The sequence below is a fragment of the Homo sapiens genome, chromosome 11, assembly GCF_000001405.40.
Source record: "Homo sapiens chromosome 11, GRCh38.p14 Primary Assembly".
NCBI classification, from domain to species: domain Eukaryota; kingdom Metazoa; phylum Chordata; class Mammalia; order Primates; family Hominidae; genus Homo; species Homo sapiens.
In genome coordinates this window covers 7,302,782-7,321,734 of record NC_000011.10, presented here as the reverse complement: position 1 = coordinate 7,321,734, position 18,953 = coordinate 7,302,782, and the positions used below count along the sequence as shown (strand labels likewise).

Here is an 18,953-nt window from a genome sequence, read left to right as displayed (position 1 = left end):
TATAACTGGGTATATATTCAGTTGCCAACAGCTCATACATTGCTGACTCTGGGCACACTGCCTATGAGTTACCCCTGCTCTGCATGGAGCAGTACTGTTCAATAAAAGACTGCTGTCAAACATTACTGAGTTGCCCTTGAATTATTTCCTGGGTGAAGCCAAGAACTCTCCTGGGCTAAGCCCCAGTTTTGGGGCTCACTTGTGTTGCATCAATATAATAATCACATATGACTTATGGTACAATGAAATGAAAAGGGATTCAAATTAATAAATATCTTCAATCACAGAGCCTGCCTGCCCCATTTGTATTCGACTATGAAGAGCAAGCACTCTGGACTTCCCTGAATACTTATATTCCCCCTGCCTGGGTGGTTCCAGGTGTCCACCTCCATCAGGTCTGCGAGTGGCCTCAGGCCTTTGGGAGACAGAACAGGAAAGTCTCCAAATCAGTCACTACAAAATAACAAACCTTGCTGAAATAAGAGTTTTAAGTTCTTAACATTAAAAGAAAGTCTATGCTGTTGTAAACTGTGTCCTTGCCTCTTCTGAACTGGAATCTGTATTGGCATAGAGGGAAATTCATTACTTCTACTGTCATTACATGAGAACTGTGGCATCTTCTCCAAATCAGAGTCTAACTGAGGTGATCATAGCTCCCAGAGACAGTCTCCGAACCAGTTTCTAAGCCAACCACCAAGAAAGAGATTCCTGAAGTGCTTAATGCCTACTTTTTCAGAAAGCCACTAGTAAGTGGGGTATACTAAAAATGCCAAGAGGATCGTCCTGACAGACAACATTAACCCAGAACACTGGACTCATAGTCTCCGAAATTTTGACCTTCCCCCTTGATGCTGTCTTCTCTCTTGCTGACTGATAAAATCCTCACAAAGATGTATTGTACTATTATTGATCTGGCTTCAGTAGTTGAGAGGTTTAATTACACCATCATTTTTACACTCAATAATTGCCGTTTTGTTCTTTCATAGGAAAGCATGAGGATTAATTTTTATTTGAGTGCCAACATTTATAAAACTCACACTCTCCTTGGAGAAACAAAGAATTTTTTAAAAAAGATTAGTTTATGAGTTCAGTTCTGCATAACAGCCTCCAACTCAAGCAGTCCCTAGAGACTCAACAAATTAGTCCCTCATAAGGAGTTTCACTTTATGCAGCAAGTGCTTATTAAATATCTAACTTTCAGACACCATTCTAGAGGTTGAGCACCCAGCAGGAAGCAAACCAAATGTGGGTTTTGCACTTATAGAAAGAAAATTGAACAAATACACAAAAGAAGCATGAGTAATGATAGAAATACAGAGTGTCATGGAAACAAATGCCAGAAAAACCTACACTAGTCCAGGGCTCAGAAAAAGAGTTCTCTGAGGAAATGGCACATAAGCTGGGATTTAAGAGCTTAGTGGGAGTTAGCCAGGTAAAGAGGGGAAGGAGAAGTAAACCAGTGTATATGATCATTTTGAGCCACCTTTTCCTGCACAGACTGAAATGATTATTTAAAAAACTTGGTCTTAATTTTGATTTGGCTATTATTCAGCTATGTAACCTCAGCTGAATGTCCTAATGGCCATTCATCTCAGCTTTATCTGCTAGATTGAAGGACCTCTAAAGTTCTACTCAATTGAAAGACAAATATATAATACACAGATTACTACTCAGTTAGTATAAGCAAAATGGCTTTTTAAAAATAAGCTTTGAGCCATATAGCAGTGTTTCTTGCAATAGGTTTGAATACTCACAGAAACTCCTTCAGGTAAAAATACTAGATTAAAAAATTCTTCTTAATGTGTAGCAGAGCTGACGGACCAGAAAGAGAATTTTTCAGTGGACAGAAACAACAAGAAAGCATTAATCCACAGAGGTAAGTAAACTCTGCAGCTGGAGCTTGAATGGAGGTAAATGTGAGTCTCTGGTGGCTTAGCTTCTGGCATTCAGAGGACTGCAGAGCCTGAGAGTCACATCGTTAAAGGATAAACAACACAGAACTTCTCCCCTGCTTATTAAACAGATATTATCCCCAACATCATGCCTGTCTTAGACTTGCTTTGTGTAAAAAAGAAACAAAAGTCCCCTCAGCCAGTTTCTAACCATTAATACAAACTTGCACTACCATAAGAAAACTACTGTTTCTAGCTGCATTTGACTTAATACTGACAATTCGCATTGTTATGCATTTAAAACATTCATACCCAAATTACCACTGAGCTAGTGTTATGGGGTCTGTGGTAATTACGGTTTTATTCCTATACAAAGGAATATATATTAGACCAAATGTCAACTTCTCAAAAACAATTGGAGGTCAGAAGACAATGAAATGATAGTTTTATAATGGCAAAATCAAAGTAACTCAGTTTTGTGCTCCCAAATTGTTATTCCCAGACAATCTTTTAAGAATAAAAGCAAAATAAAGGCATATTCCAGAGTTGTGGCTTTCAGTTGAAAGTTATTGCCAGCCTACAGATACCTCAAGAAATAGCCCTGGGCGACAAAGCAAGACTCAGTCTCAAAAAAAAAAAAAAAAAAAAAAGAAAAAGAAGAAAAGAAAAAAAAAAAGAAGAAATAGGGGAATGAATATCCTGACCCCACTCTCCTCCCTTTCTCATTGTCTGAACCTAAGGAGAAGTCAGAAACTAGGGGCATTCTTCCAGTTTGAAGAAAGATACACAAAAACCCCAAAGCCTTCAGGGACACTGAGCAGGAACAAATAGCAGGCATCCAAAATAATGCCCCAAACTAACTTTATAAAGCAAGAATTACCTCGATTCCAAGCCAGACAAGGACAGTACAAGACAGCATATTACATGCATCACTCATGAGCACAGAAGAAATAAAATGCTAAATGAAATATTATCAAACTGAACTCAGCAGTGTAAAGAAAATGTACTATATCAAGATCAGTGTGGATCATTCTAGGAATATAAGATTGGCTCAAAATTAGAAAATCAATCAATGTAATTGACCAAAATAGCAGATTAAAGGAGTAAAAAAAACCTCACTGGATTATAGCATACGATAAAACAATTACGTGTGATAAAAAGGCTTACTCAACTCTGAATAGAGTAAAACATTCTTAATATGAATATATCCACAAAATATACATAGCTAAGGCTGGGCGCGGTGGCTCATGACTGAAATCCCAGCACTTTGGGAAGCCAAGGCCGGCAGATCCACTGAGGTTAGGAGTTTGAGACCAGCCTGGCCAACATGGTGAAACCCCGTCTCCACTAAAAATACAAAAATTAGCCAGACGTGGTAGTGGGCGCCCGTAATTCCAGCTACTCAGGAGGCCGAGGCAGGAGAATCACTTGAACCCTGAAGGCAGAGGTTGCAGTGAGCCTTGATTGCGCCATTGCACTCCAGCCTGGGTGACAAGAGCAAAATGCCATAAAAAAAAAAAGGCATTAATGAGTTCTACAAGACTGCCAAATAGAAGATATATTAACATAAAGAATTTTAACTATACACTAGCAATAGTTAGAAAATGAAATTTTAGAGAAGATAACATTTAAAAGAACAAAAAGTAATGTACCTAGCAATAAATCTAACAAGAGACATGCAAGATCTTAACGTAGAAAATTATAGGCTTTGAATAAAAAACTTTAAAGAAGAAATAAGTAAAAGAATAAGTAAATGGAGAGATATACTATGGTCACGTGTAGAAAGACTCAATATCACAAAAGATATAAAATTTTCATGAATTAATCAATAGACTTCATACAAATCCAAATACCAGAGAGGGTGTTTAACTTGGCAATGTGATTCTAAAATGTGTGAGAAAAGTCAAGTACCAGCCAAGGTTGAACTAAGATAGAGGTAGGCTGGATGATTTGCCCTTCCAGATGTTAAGGCTTATCATAGAACAATAGTAATTTGCAAATTGTGCTATTCATAGAGATAGTTAAACATCCCAGTGGATAGAAAAGAGAATCCAGAAACAGGTTGTGCATATACAGAAATCTACATAGGACAGAGCATACAGTGCATATTATTGGGAAAATATGCCAGAAAATTTTTTGCCCATATAGAAAAATAAATATGGATATGTTATGGACTGAATGTTTTTGTCCCTCCCAATTTATATATTGAAACCCTAATCCCCAGTGTGATTGTGACAGTATTTGGAAATGAAGCTTTTGGGAGGTAATCAGGTTTACATGAGGTCATGAGGGTGGGGCCCCCATTGTAGGATTAGTGTCCTTATAAGAAGAGGAAGAGAGACTAGAACCAGAGCTCTCTCCCTCTCTCTGTCACATGAGGGCACAGTGAGAAGGTGAGCCAGGAAGAGAGCCTCACCAGGAATGGAGTCTGCTGAAACTTGGTCTTGGATATCCCAGGCTCCAGAACTCTAAGAAATAAATATCTATTGTTTAAGTTGCCCAGTTTATGGTATTTTGTTATGGCAGCCCAAGTTGACTGATATATGATGCCTATATAACACTATGTAAACATTTCCATTCTAGATGGATTAAAATCATAATTGAGGAAGACAAAACCTTAACACTTCTAATAGAAAGCATAGGAGAAATATCTTTCCTGACATAGGGTAAGGAAGTACTTCTTAAGTAGGACACAAATGCGCTAATTTACAACAGAAAATCCTGATACATTTTATTACACCAAACATAACCTCTATTTATCAAAGACACCATAAAGTGAATACAAAGACAGCCATAAACTGAGAGATGATGTTTGTAAAACACATAACCAACAAGGGATTTGCATCCCAACTGCTTAAAAAGCCTATGTGAATCAACAAGGAAAGGAAAACAAAAGAATAAGTGCTGAACAAGAATTTTCACAAGAAAGAAAACATGAATGACCAATAAACATATCAAGAGATGGTCAAACCGGACAACTGAAGAAATGCCAATAATATATCATTTTGCATACATGCACACACATACATTGATCAGTGTGGCAACTGCAAGAGTTGGAGAGAAAGTGGAACACTAGGGATCATCACATTTCAACAGTGGAAGGATCAATTTGTGATACGTGCAAATGACTGAAAAAGACTGTCATTATCTAGAAAAGCTGAACACATGTATACCTTACCTCTATCAGGGATAAACTCTAGAGAAATGATTGCATATGTGAACCAAAAGATGTGTACAAAATCTCTGCGATATTATTCAGAATCACAGAAAAACTAACATCCTGAATGTCATCAGTACAAGAATGCAAATTTGTCATATATTAATATTAATACAATGGAATATTATATAGCAATGAAGATACATAAGCCACAGCTGCTCTGCTTATTTCTATTACTAAATGCCATAATCAATGTTGACCAAAGAAAAAAAGCTAGTCAAAGAAGAGCAATAAAATGCCAAAATAGACAAAACCCAAACCCATATTGTCATATGTATATGCATATATATTTTTTATATGATGATATAAGTAAAATTAAAGATAGTGGTTTTCTCTTGGCAGGACTGGACTGAGAGGGAATGCAATAGAGGACAATTCAAGGGTCAATAGAAGTAATGTTCTATTCTTCAACTAAATGGTGGGTTCAGGCCTGTTCATTTAATTTTTCCTTCATTAATCCATTTATTATATTTACTATATTATATACATTCTATATTATAAAAAGAGAATCATGGCAAATCTCAGCTCTTTATGTTCAGTCTCTATACAAAAAAAAACCCCACAACCCCAAATAACATTTTTTAAAATGGAATGTAATAATATGGCAGACTATGAAATAGCCTGTAATTCCATTGACAGGACCTACCCTCTCCCGTGGCCATCCAAAGGCTTAGATCAATGCTCAGAAGATTTATTGTTTGCCTGAGGAAACAACTGAGAAATCTGAAGCCTGTAGCTTTATTGGTTTTCCTCCCTGATAAATAATTTCACATTCTCCTTAACCCTATGGAAATCCAGGATTTTCCAACAATGGAAAAGAAACTCTTACTCCCAAGAGAATGCTGAAATGGCAGTGATCTCAGGGCCAGAAGGTCTCCATCACCTGCCACTCCATATTCTTGTTCCACAGGAACCTGTCCTAGGAGTCGTTCCCACCAGGGATCATCAGCCTTATCCAGATTTGTATCAGCCACTGCGCAGTCAACGTTGCTCTCACCACAAAGTCTCTAAAGGCAACTCTCAGCAAGATCCTCGTTGAACTTTCTAATAACCTCTCCAGCTATTTTATGGAATCCATTTGTCAAAAAGTATAAATTGATGTCTCATTAGATGGTGTGACCAACACCTCCCTACCATACCTGAGATGAGACTTAAGTTCAAGGCACCTCACTGCAGCTGGCAGTGTCTCAGCTCCCATAACCAGGGAGACTTAGTAAATACCCCAGTGGGGGGTGATGCCTGAGCCATTCGTATCTTTGTATAAGCAGCCTTCCCATTTTGTTTCTTTAAACCTTCTCATGTTGCTTCCTGATTTTGTCAGTTGGGATTTGGGAGACAAGCCTTGCTTTCCCCAGCATCCATTGTTGGGTTTATGTGTATTATTATCTTTTAAGATAAAGAGACCTATTCCTTCCCCAGTATCCCAAATCACCTTGGTTTCATCAACTGCTATTCTCTGCACCTTATCCAGCTCCAACTCCTTTCTTTCTTTCCTCATGATTATGATAAAGGCCAGCAGACTCCCATGCTACATTTTGTTTATTTGGATAGCAGCACAAAGTTGGCACTGGAACCCTGTGGCATGTGGAGAGAAGGTGTCCCACAGGGCAATCAGAGCATGGGTGAGTCCCTAGTTCATAAAAGTGGCTGAGGATAAGAGGGTACTGGTGCAGGTATTTGGTCATTAGGCAGAGATTAGTCTTTCACTAAATAGGCTCCAGACTCAAGCTGAATCAGTGTCTGAGCTGAATAAAGACGGTGGTGCTTGGTCCATTTGGATGCCATGGCAGAGAAAGAGAGCTACGCTGGCCTCAGAATAGCTCATATCCAGGAAGAGGAGCTAACAAAGTTATCTCAGGGAATTTGGACAGGTGAAAGAAACAAGTGGCTTTAAAATATCAGAGTTACCTAAGAATGTTCAATTTTCCTTTCTATTTCTGGAATGCCAACACACCTCTGCAGGATAATGAAAAGGATATAAATGGAGTAGAAATATCACCTCTGAAATCTTGTGTTTAAAATGTAGACATAGACGTATGGTACCACTACATAGCACCTTTGACTTCTCTCCTGAGCCCTAAATTGGATGTGACTGTCGATAGATTAGTTTTGCCATTATCTATAGTTTCTTTTCAGACTTCCCTCCTTGTAACTTGGATTTTGTGAGTTTTACATTTAAAAATGTGTTGCCAACTCTTCTCAACCACTCCCACTGGTAGGGTTGAAGCTGAGGATCCAATCATGGGAAATGCTCTTGAGCCAACCTCAGAAGACAGGTAAGTACCTACTGCTGTCAGAGTCAGGTAATGGTCTCTTAGCTGCAGACTACAGTTAATAGAATGCCAGGTTCCATTCAGCACAAACAACCTGAAAAAGCTCTAAAGAAAATGTGGTACGGAGGACAGATAACACCTGCTGTCTCTTAGGGGCTAGCTAAGAATCTGAAAGTAGAAAAGAGAGAATGTTATTCTTTAATATTGTTTTCATGGAATAATGCTTGGAAACTTCAAAATCAATATTGTTAAAACCCTGTTTCTGAAAAGGTACAAGGAGGTTCTGAAATAACTGCTACATGTACATTGACAGGAATTTTACACTTTGTCCTCAAGATAATGTGTAAGTAATCTGTTTCCTTGCTAACCAAGATGCCCCCCACCACAAAAATGAAGAAATGCTGGACTCACATTGGTGACATATTCGATATCCTTCCAAAGGATGCACTCCCTGGGGAAATCAGCCAAGTCTAGGAAGTGATCCACCACCACTTGGCCGATTAAGTCATGACGAGAGAACCTGTCAAAGTCGTACACAGAGAAGTGAAGCTTCCGTGCTTCAAGGTCATTGTAGGGAACCGGAAATAAAAACACTTCATCAAACACAGGGTTCAGGGTCTTTCTGTGAACTTTAGTCTGGTGTTTTGTTTTCCGATCAGGAAGCAAATAGATCTTGACATAAGGATCTGAAGTCCCAGAAAAGTCCTTGGCGGGCAAATTGACAGCTTTGTGAATCTTCACTATGAGCTGCTCTAAGTCACAGTCATATTTTAAAATGAAGTTCAGTTTCCCACAAGCCTTGCTGTTACTCCGTCTCCCGTCATCATTATCCAATGACCTCTGCTTATATAACTCTGGTTTAATTCTACCAATTCCAGTCAACTGTTCCTGTTTTTGAAGCTGCTGGATATTGAAGTCCGGGTTTGACAAGTTGAGTTGTCTTCGGATTGAATTATGCCTTGAATGAAGAGCAACACAGAACAAAGTTATAACCTTATTAGCTATGGGTCTCTCAGAAACTTTTGCCTGGGATGTAGGTAGACTGTTATATTTTGTCAGGAGCTTAGATCTGTGGGCCTTTTTTGTGTGTGTGTGGCCTAAATTCAAAATGCTCATCAGTGTGAGTAAGCTGCTCCGTAAGGCTTGAAGCTCACAACTGAGGCTTGGTATCAGGAAATGAACCTAGTAACATGTGACCTCAGAGCTTTAAAGGTTTAATATAGTTCCTAAACTGTCTAATATGCCATTAAAGAAGCTTATTCCTCTGGTGGAATGTAAAGATTTGTACAAACTGCTTTAAAAATAAAATTATTCAACTTTATATATAATATAATTCTGAAATTGAAATAGCCAAGTGTTGCCTTAAGAAGAATGAATCTTTCTCTAAATTACACAGAATTTCTTGCCACTGGCTTATAGCTTTATAAGGATATAAATTCTTACTGGTTCAAATCAAATCATTTCATCACAAGAACACAGCTTTTGCTCATGCAAAAATGTATATGACTGGGATGTGTCTGCATGCAGTGGATTGTGGTGGCTCTGACAGGTAGAAGTGACATAATTGGGATTGTGCTTTTGCTGTACACATGGGTGATTAGTGATCAAGAGGACAGGTTTTATTTCTGAAATAAACACTAATGGCTCAAAAATTAAAGATGAGCTACTATAAATGCATGTAGGGATTCAACTGGAGATGGCTGGATACTGATACTCCAAACTAAATATTTGCAACTGTAGTATAGTCTTCTTCACCCTGTAAGTGTATTGGTTTGGGTTAGAAGTTTCCCTAAAATTCTCTTTAAAGCCTGTCTGATCTGTGTGTGTCTTCCCAAGTTGAGAGAAGTAGTTATCACATACAAGGTTGTTTTTAAGGTTACTTTTGTTGTTTTTAGCTCAGAGTTTAGAGTCATTATATTGTATTGTATGCATTCGCTCAACAACCTTAATTAAAATAGCCTCTTTACTAGAAGGTGAAAGAGAACAGCTGGGATGTCTCTTAGGGATTGGTAAACAGTTGGAGAGGCAGAGTAAACATTTGAATTTGCCCTTCTCTTCCTTTCTTCAGACAATGAAATAAAGACGTAAAAATGGAATTAAGGGACCCCCAGACACATTTGAAAGTATTCTCCCTTGTCACCACAGATATTGTTATGCTGAGCATTCCTCTTTATCCTAAAATAGCCTCCTAATCACTAATCACCCACCTGGTATGACAAGAGTACCGTCACAGAGCTGTCACTGGTACCTGTCACATCTAACACAGTCCATAGCAAGCAGACATAGCCCAGTCACATACATTCCCACATGCACAAAAACTTTGTGATCTGAGAGTTGCTGAAGGGAGATTTTAATCTCTTTTAGAGAAATCCACACTCTTAAGGTTTCTCTGTATTTTATGATGTGGGTGGGCGGGGGAGGGAAGGCAGGAGTTGCTGTTAAGCATCTAAAACTGGCTTTCTGAGCTAGTGCAGCCAGATCACTCCCTTGTCCAGAAGTGGAACCAATGTAGTGCTAGAATAGAGCTTGAGTCTCACTTTACTGGACTCTGTGGGCAGAAAGGACTGGGAGGCAGCAGAAAGTAACCTGCCATATGCAGAGGTCAGAATAGGCTGGTGCCAGCCCTATTTCCCTCTGCTATTGAGTTTTCTTTACAAAAGAAACATTTTTTCTTCAAAAAATGTCCATAATTGGGTCCTGCATCAGTTCCCACCCTTCTGGGTACTGTCTAGTAAGTGGTGCTGTTTACATGATAAAAGTGCATCCTCAATATCCACTGGATGCTCCTCCTCCAGATGAGTCTGTGGTGGACCAACAATTCTGTGTCTACACAATCCAGTCCCAGACAATAATCTCATGTCAGCCCTAGGCCCTGTCACTCTGCTGCTCCGCAGATGGTTGCTGGGCAGACTGTGCATTACAATTTCCCTTTGAATTTTCTTAGTACTGGCATTCGATTCATCACAGCAACATTTTGTCTTCACCCTTGTCTGTAGGACTAAATCTACCATAGTGGTTTTGCTTTTTGTTTGTTTGTTTTTTAGTTTTTTAGATGAAGTGTCACTGTTGTCAACTGGGGCTGAAGTGCAATGGCGCGATCTCGGCTCCCTGCAACCTCCACCTCCCGGGTTGAAGCAATTCTCCTACCTCAGCCTCCCAAATAGCTGGGATTACAGGCATGCGCCACCACACCTGGCTAATTTTGTATTTTTAGTAGAGACAGGGTTTCTCCATGTTGGTCAGGCTGGTCTCGAACTCCCAACCTCAGGTGATCCACCCAACTTAGCCTCCCAAAGTGCTGGGATTACAGGCGTTAGCCACTGTGCCTGGCCACCATAGTTTTAATTTTAATTTAAAATACATGGATTTGGCTACTTAGTAGTGTGACATATTCTGTTCTACATGTACATTTTCTTAGACATGAAATCTGAAGATAAATTGTCCCACATGCTCAGCTCTTCCTAACCAAAGTGGATTGCCAGCAGGGAGGCGGGGGTTGTTGATGTAGTTCAAAGACTGAAGAAAGATCCCATTCCCTGAGAACCCAATTGCACAGGAATCCCTCCAAAAATTCCCAATACAGCTGACCTCTTAAAAACCAATCACAAGCCGGGTGCAGTGGCTCATGCCTGTAATCCCAGCACTTTGGGAAGCCAAGGTGGGCGGATCACGAGGTCAGGAGATCGACACCATCCTGGCTAACACAGTGAAACCCCATCTCTGCTAAAAATACAAAAAAGTAGCCAGGCGTGGTGGCAGGCACCTGTAGTCCCAGCTACTTGGGAGGCTGAGGCAGGAGAACAGCGTGAACCTGGGAGCCGGAGCTTGCAGTGAGTAGAGATTGTGCCACTGTACTCCAGCCTGGGCGACAGGGTGAGACTCCGTCTCAAAAAAAAAAAAAAAAAAAATCACAGTTATGGGCTAGGCACAATGGCTCACACCTGTAATCTCAGCATTTTGGGAGGCCAAGGTGGGTGGATCACTTGAGGTCAGGAGTTCGAGACCAGCCTGGCCAACATAGTAAAACCCTGTCTCTACTAGAGATACAAAAATTAGCCAGGCATAGTGGCACACACCTGTAGTCCCAGCTACTTGGGAGGCTGAGGCAGGAGAATCGCTTAAACCCAGGTGGCAGAGGTTGCAGTGAGTGGAGATCACGCCACTACACTCCAGTCTGGGCAACAGAGAAAGACTCCATCTCAAAAAAACTCAAAAACCAAAAACCAAACAAGCAAACAAAAAACCAGTCACAGATATGAATACTATTATCTACTGAAACATTTTACATGATAATTTCATTCCCAACACTTTCCCCTCCATTCAGAATCACACTTACTCTTGGGAAATCAGTTGAATCTAACTGTAAGGTAGTGGCTTAAAGCAGACAGCGAAGACTGTAACTGGGCATGACAGGTTCTCACTCCTGGGGCTCCCTTTCAATCTCTTTCAATTTCCATTCAGAAGAGAGTTAGAGTTTACTGGAGTTCGGGGAGAGGCACGGAAGAAGAGAGAAGCTTAGAAGAGCCAGAGAACCAGGGTAACTCATAACCTCCCTGTATAACCTCTGGAGGTCTGGGGGCTGAAAATAAGGAAGTGGAGCAGGGAGACTGCCCCAGGGGCGTAAAGGAGAAGAGGGGGTGGAGGAAATGGAAAATCAATATTCTATAGTTCTCATAGGCTACTCAAACAGAGGTGGGAAGAAAACGCAAGCCCAAAGCAAGAGGTAGGAAAGATACGGAATATAGAGCCATTACCTGAGCCTCCCCCACCCCAGGTGAGGTGGCTCTAAATGGTTAATGGAGGTGGTTTTGAGTGCAGTAAATGCGAGGCTCCCAGGGCAAGGGTCTAGAATTTCAAAGCCACTGACTGACAAGGACAATGACATTGAGGGAGTGTAGGAATTTGGCAAAGAGAGATCTGTGACTGAAGCAGACAGTCCTCTGAGTAGGTCTGGGGAGTCCCGTATTTTGGTGTTCTCAGGACTTAATGTGCACAGTGAATGAAAAAAAGTGGACCCCAACGACAGTGGGTCAGAAGGAAAGTTGAGAGATGATCTCCTCTACTAATAAGCCACACCCTAATGCTGTCGTAGAGAAGCTGGCTGCTGGGGTTGGAACTCTCAGCTTCATCCACCTCCCATTCTCTCTCTGGGTGGGCAAAAGCTGTTTTCCTCTCATGGAAGAAACAACAAAGAGAAAATAAAGATTAGACTTGGCTACCCCAGACCTAAGTGGGAAGAATAGCAGTTGAACCTGTGGAAAGCTTGAGTTCAAAGATAATTAACAAAATGTGCAAAGTAGATTTCCCAAAACAAACTCAAAAACATACTTTCACGCCTGGAGAAACCTGAGTCTTGTGCTGAGTTGCAGCCATAGTTCAGGAAAGGCCAGAATCCCAGAGGTACAAGGTTTTCTCCTCCTTTCCTTTCCTCAGATGTGAATTAACTAGTCCCAGCTCTAGGTTAGTCCCTAAACTATCACCCGAAAAGCCAACTATGTCGATCAGATCTTAAGAGACAGGACGTAATGGCAATTCAACAAATTCGAATTTGCAAAGCAGTGTCAAATGGGGTGGAAGGTGCAGAGAGGCAAAATGTAGTCACCATCTTGAAGAAAATGGCTGTCCAGGCGGGTGATGAGATGGTTCCCCCACCAGAAGATGAGAGGGAGAAAGGCCTCTGGCTGAGGAAACTTTTATGAAGGAGATGATACTTGAGCTGGGCTTGCCTACTTAACTTGGCCTCATTCTTAGCCACCTCAAGCGGATGCTGTAGACGTCAATAAGGACATTAAATCCATTTGCATCTTGGTCCTACCTCTCTAGCAGAATGGGACTTTCAGCTCTTCTGCCCCAGCAGCTTTTTCTAGAGTCCCTCATATACACCCACTGCATCTCTGAGTCCAGGCTCTGTACAAGCCAGCACTCATATCCCCAACACCCCTTCCATCGCGGGCTTTCATGTGAAGCCATGAACAAGTGCACCCTAATATATGTTCCTTCACTGCAGTGGCCCACCTCAGAGGTGAAACCTGACCTGTCCTTTCCCTGGTTCTCGGGCACCAGTGTCTACAAGGCTTCAGGATCCAAGGAGAAAAAAGAGAGAAGCAAATTGTGGTTTCAGAAATGTTACTGGTTTCTTTCCTATGTTCAAGTCAAGGCAGGGAATTATGGAAATGGTGGAGACAGGATGTTTTTCTTCAAAACTCCCCTGGTGATGAAGAAGAGAGAGTTAGGTTTTCCTGAACCACAGGCAGACACAGAAGAAGGGGAAATCCTGGATAGGGACAGACACAGTTAGTAGACTACAAGGGCAGGAGGAAGTGAAAATCTGAGGCTTTCTTGGGCTGAAGATTCAAGGGTTTCCAGCATAAGTGAGATAATGACGAGACAGGCATCAGGCCTTGGGGCCAGTGGAGGTGTGTTGTCAAGGGTAGGTGGATACACTGAGGCAAGACCTGCTTCCTCCCACTCCCTCCAAAGTTAAACGGATTTGAAACCTTGAATACTTTATCCTCCATAACTAAGATGAGCCTTTGTTCACCAAAACTTTCTCTACAGTAGCTCACGTCTTATGTCTCTTTTCATTCCCATTGATCCTAGCTGAGTTCAGGCCCTCAGACAGGCCCCTGTATACATCCAATCTTCACCACTGTCCCATGCATCTTATGCATTCTTTCCAGATTAATCTTCTAAAGAACAAATTGAGCACTTCAGTGTGTATAATTGGTGCTCTTGCTGTGGGTCTTTTGTGGGCATGGTTATATATTTTTTCTCTCTTTATTGCCACCACCTAATATTGAATTTTGCCATAGCAAATGCTTGATATCTGTGTCTAGAGTAAATATAGAAATGCTATGGATATAATAGTTTCTGATAATTTAATCCCAGTAGAGAAAACACTCATTTACATATCATTTCGGGGTCTCGTGGAAGTTGAGATAGGTCTAGGCAACTTCCACTTTTGAAGCAGTTAATTTAAATCTGAAGAAATAACTATAATTCAAAAATTATGTTTTAGATGTTTACATTGAACCAATGTTCTCACCACACAAAAATATAACTTAATAGAAATGTGCTACTCATAGTATAATTACATTCAATTTTTGTGTACTATTTACTTGAGTTGTGGCCAGTCATGGGACCTAAATTTAGAGTGTGATGGTTATCTTCCTCTTTCAATTCTGTCAGCATATTTCTGTAACTCTACGGATTGCTTAATTCAGAGGTAAGGTCAAAAACCTAATGTGGGGCTCTTAATGAATGTGAGACCTGGGACAAATGGCCTTCCGCCAGCCTCACACCATTATTACAGGCTCTGCTCAGTTTATACTTCTGGCCCTTTGTCATTCTTGTCAGAAGAGCATGAGAAAAGTGGCCTGATATTGACCAATGTATTCTGTCAGTCATTCATGGAAAAAAGTCCTCCATGTGCCAGGTGGTGCTAGGGGCTGGATAGACAGGAAGAAACAAAACAGATGTGGTCTCTGAGCTCACAGAACTCAGTCTAGAGGGGAGTACAAGCAATAAAGAATCACTTAAAATAATTTAATCCTGTGAAGGCATGAAAACAAGGCAATGCGAGGGAGAATTAAAGTGGGAAGGAGTGGGGGACAGAACACAGACTTCAGATGGAGTGGCCGGGGAGAACTTTCTGAGAAGGTGATGTTTCAGCTAGGGTGTAAGGGAAGTAAAGGTCCCAAGAAGGACAAAAAAAGGAAAAGCATTCCTGGCTGAGGGAACAACGTGTGAAGACCTCAAGGCAGGAAGGGGCTTGGGATGCTGAAGGAACTAAGAGAGAGGCTAGTGCAGCTGCAGTACAACAAGCTTCTTCCAGGCAGTCTCCTATTGAGTTCATGTTAAAATAGTCCCCTAGGGTTCTGCAACATGGTGGCCTTGGCCATAAGGTGAGGCTGTTGGAAGCAGACTGTGGCAGTATTAAAATGCAGGGCCTTAATAGACCTGATAAGGGGTTTGTGGTGTGGTAATTGAAATTTTTGAAAAACTGAAGTGTTACATAAGACATTTGAGAAGGCTTGAGAAAAATAGGATGAACTTTCATCTTAGGACATGAATCAGGAAATGGATTAGATGGCCTTTCAAGGTTCCTTCTATTTTGGGGATCCAGGGATTTTCATACATTTGGAGTAGAGAACTTTATAAAGCTCTGGAATTAAAAAATTCTGAGAAAATTGAAACATCCACATTTCCAGCATATTGAGTCACTGTACAAAAGGGACTTCATTCAAATCAAAAAGAATTGACAGGAATTTTGGATGGTACTAATAGTCACTGAAGAAACTAGACACCGAACATGCTTGATCTTGAAAGAACAACAGAAAGTCATTCTGACCAGAAACATTCTTAGAAGATAAAACAAAGCCCATCTTTAGGACATTTCAAAAAGGCACTGTGTCAGCCAAACATATCCAAGAACACATCCAAGCCGAAGAGGCCAGGTGAGGTTGAGATTTTTGATGTCAATGGTGTGACAGAAACTGTGCCAATCACAAGGATCCTGAAGACACCTTTAAATGGAGGCTGTGTCTTTCGTGCACTGGGAACCCTGAGACTGTGATCATGGCTGTCCTGAGACGGTGATAATGGCTGCAGGATGGAAGCAGTAAGACGGTGTCGGCAGGGAGAAAGTAAAGAACATAATGAGAAAGAAAAGAGAAGAAACAGTAACTGGAAAAGCAGACTGTTTAGAGCTTTCTCAGCAAAGCTTACCTTTCCCCTCCCCAAATATGGGTATCGAAAATGTTAAAGAAGAATGTTAAAAATGCTTTGAGGCATAAAGGAAATTTCATTCTCTTTTTCCTTTTTGTTAGCAAAAAGTGTGTATGTGTGTGTGCATTTTCTCATGATGCAACACAATCCTCAAAGAATTAGAAGACCATGTACTGCTCTTATTGTGGTGAGATCCTGAGACAAGGATATATATTTCCAGACAGACCCCATAAAACTAGGTCAGTAGTAACTTAGGTATGAATGTTTTAAATGCATAAAAATGCAAATTGTCAGTATTAGGTCAAATGCAGCTAGAAAAGAGTAGTTTTCTTATAGTAGTTCAGATATTGCTAAACTTGATTTTTGCCATCAGAAAAGATAATGTAATTGCATGCCTTCAAAACTAAAATAAATCTGAACACAAAGTGCATTTTACAGGGATAATTCCTTCACTCTCCCTTTTAATTTTTTTCCTTCTACCCAATTTCTACAAATCAGTAGTGATAACAGTTATTTTTTAAGCAAATCCTTATTGCTATGCAGTATATTTATATACTTTCCCAGTATAAATATTGTGATAATTATAGTGGCATCATTGCTATCAGTTTGTTAGAATTATGGCAGAGTCCCCAGATCAAATCTAGCAAGATCACAGTACTACCACCATATATTGGAGGAACTCAGACCAGAAAAGTTACATGCAGAGTAGAACCAAATAGGGGGCAATTTCAATGGAAATTTCAATGGAGACTCTATCTAAAAGGCTTTAGCTATTGAAATACTGAAAGGATTTTATTATAAGTCTGCACATTGCATGAACTCTATGACAGCATCAAATAGAGCTCTAGTTATATTTAAGTTTTAAATCTGAAGATAAATCCTAGTGATAAAATCTGAGGATTTCTTCTAAATCAAACGGCAGACAACTACCCATCTCCTCACAGAGGCATATTTTAGATTTGGCTCTTTGATTCAGAATTGAAAATGATGCTAAAATAAGTTTCTGAAACAATCAAATTAGAAACTGGCATATTCCATCCCACTTAATGAGAATGAGTGGAGCCTCTAGGATAAACTCGATTAACATAAAAAGGGTAAAGTCTTATTTCTGTTTCTGGAGAACAAACAGCAAATATTTTTAAAAAATACCTCCAAATTGTGTTTATACCTTCCAAATAACAGCACATGCTATTTCTCTGGCCATCACTCAGGCCAATATTTTCATTCTAAAGAAAGCTGCTTCCTGAGTCTCTTTTCCTGAAATATCTTATCAAAAATGAGTTTTTATATCCAGTGATTTAGAACTGGCTGCTTAGCCTCAAACACACTTTTGTGCAACATCTGAGCCTTGGGAGAGGCCATAATAGCAATACTAACAGCAAAATGGCAGCTCACATTTTGGAACATTTACCAGGTGCCAGACCTGTGCAAGCACATGTCATCATTTCATTCTTAAAACCACCTACAAATCAGTACTATCTACTCCTCTTTTGAAGAAGAGGAAATGGACAGATACGGAGTTTAAGTAATTTGTTCAATGTCACACATGTAAGTAAAGCCAATTCATTTGACTTGAGAGACCGCATCTTTTTTCACTGCATTATATTATTTCTCTACTGCTGAAGAGCATAAAGCATCCAGACAATGAAAAGAGAGTGACCTAGGTATCGGTACTCTGTAAGCCTTCCAAAGGCTGGAGACGGACAAAGACCTCCAGCCACACGGCGGAGTCTGAAGAGAGCCTGTGTGTGACTGTTAGGATAGGTCAGATGCACAGGGAATAAATTCTAAAGCAGTAGGAGGGCAGCAGGGAAGGGTGGTTAAGAGCTCAGATTCTTGTGTTGGTTGAGCCAGGGTTCAAATCCTGACCTGGGTATTTACATATACAGCTTTTTAAAAAATTTAATCGCCTTGACTTAAGTTTCTTCTGCTGTAAAATAAGAATGATAATAGTATACATTTCATGCTAAGTTGTGAGCTATAATAAAATATGAATATAAAGTTCTTATAGAGTACTTCACACATGCTGTCTTAATGATGTTAACTATTATTTTTATGAACTAAGTAGAGACCAAGGAGGGCGTAGGAAGCATGGAGTTTTCCCATATTCATGTCTCTGATACAGAACAGAAATCTAAAAGGTTACAGGCTCCTTGACCTATCAGTGCTATTGTTGCCAGAGAGGGGAATGGGGTGGTCCTTCCTTGCATTCAGAAAGGAGAAGGCATTACTGACCGGGCCGACGAGGTTGGCTCTGTGACTTGGCGCTGCACGCGGACGCCATGGGCACAGTTCTCCTGGATCCCCGTCTGGGTGGAGAGGGGAATGTCAGGGGAGGTGTGGCTGATCTTCATGGAGGAGTCAGGGCAGGGCGTGGGAGGATCTAGGAAGTCCTCACTGTTCTCCTGCTCATTGGTCTCTGTGTCCATGTAGTTAAGGGGCTCCTGGTTGTTGTCTTTGCTACCAGAGGGCAGGCCTCGTTCTCGCCACGGAACCCAGCAGAGTTTCCAAGATACGAAGAGAGACACGCCAAAGAGAGCGAGACCACAGGCAGTGACCACAAGGGTCAGCAGGCTCACTGAGATATCTGCAAAGAAGCAAAGATCAAAGGTCAGTGTGGTCATTCCCCTCAAGCCCACCCATTGCACAGCGTGGGCAGAATGACCCTCTCATCCACTCATCCCTTGGGAGCCGACTGCGGAAGGCCATGCTGGGGCGCATGGCTGGGTTACTTAATTCTGGGACGGTGACAATGAGAATTCATACACAAACCAGAGGACCAGTGAGCAGAAACACAGAGGAGGTACCATAGCATGCAAGCCATGTTTAGAAACAATAAACAGC

The 18,953-nt window shown here is 40.7% G+C and overlaps 1 protein-coding gene across 10 annotated transcripts in view, besides 1 other annotated feature; it reads right to left on the bottom strand.

The window, feature by feature from the left end:
* The window catches only part of SYT9 (synaptotagmin 9), a 230,266-nt gene that overhangs the window by 147,309 nt on the left and 64,004 nt on the right, over positions 1-18,953 (bottom strand). For 9 of the 10 annotated variants that reach the window (XM_011519902.3, XM_047426379.1, XM_011519901.3 and 6 more), the window contains exons 2-3: positions 18,345-18,696; positions 7,794-8,340 (exon numbers count right to left, since the gene is read on the bottom strand). In XM_011519902.3, coding sequence (XP_011518204.1) covers positions 7,794-8,340; positions 18,345-18,696 — 899 coding nt within the window. Of the gene's footprint in view, positions 1-4,597; positions 7,551-7,793; positions 8,341-18,344; positions 18,697-18,953 lie in introns of those variants that run through there. The other variant, XM_011519906.3, reaches the window with a different exon arrangement.
* Positions 13,744-13,893: an enhancer, noted in NCBI's record as "active region_4359". NCBI's record gives its function as "activates an Ori minimal core promoter by ATAC-STARR-seq in GM12878 lymphoblastoid cells {active_cell/tissue: GM12878}" and the evidence as "EXISTENCE:reporter gene assay evidence [ECO:0000049][PMID:35858748]".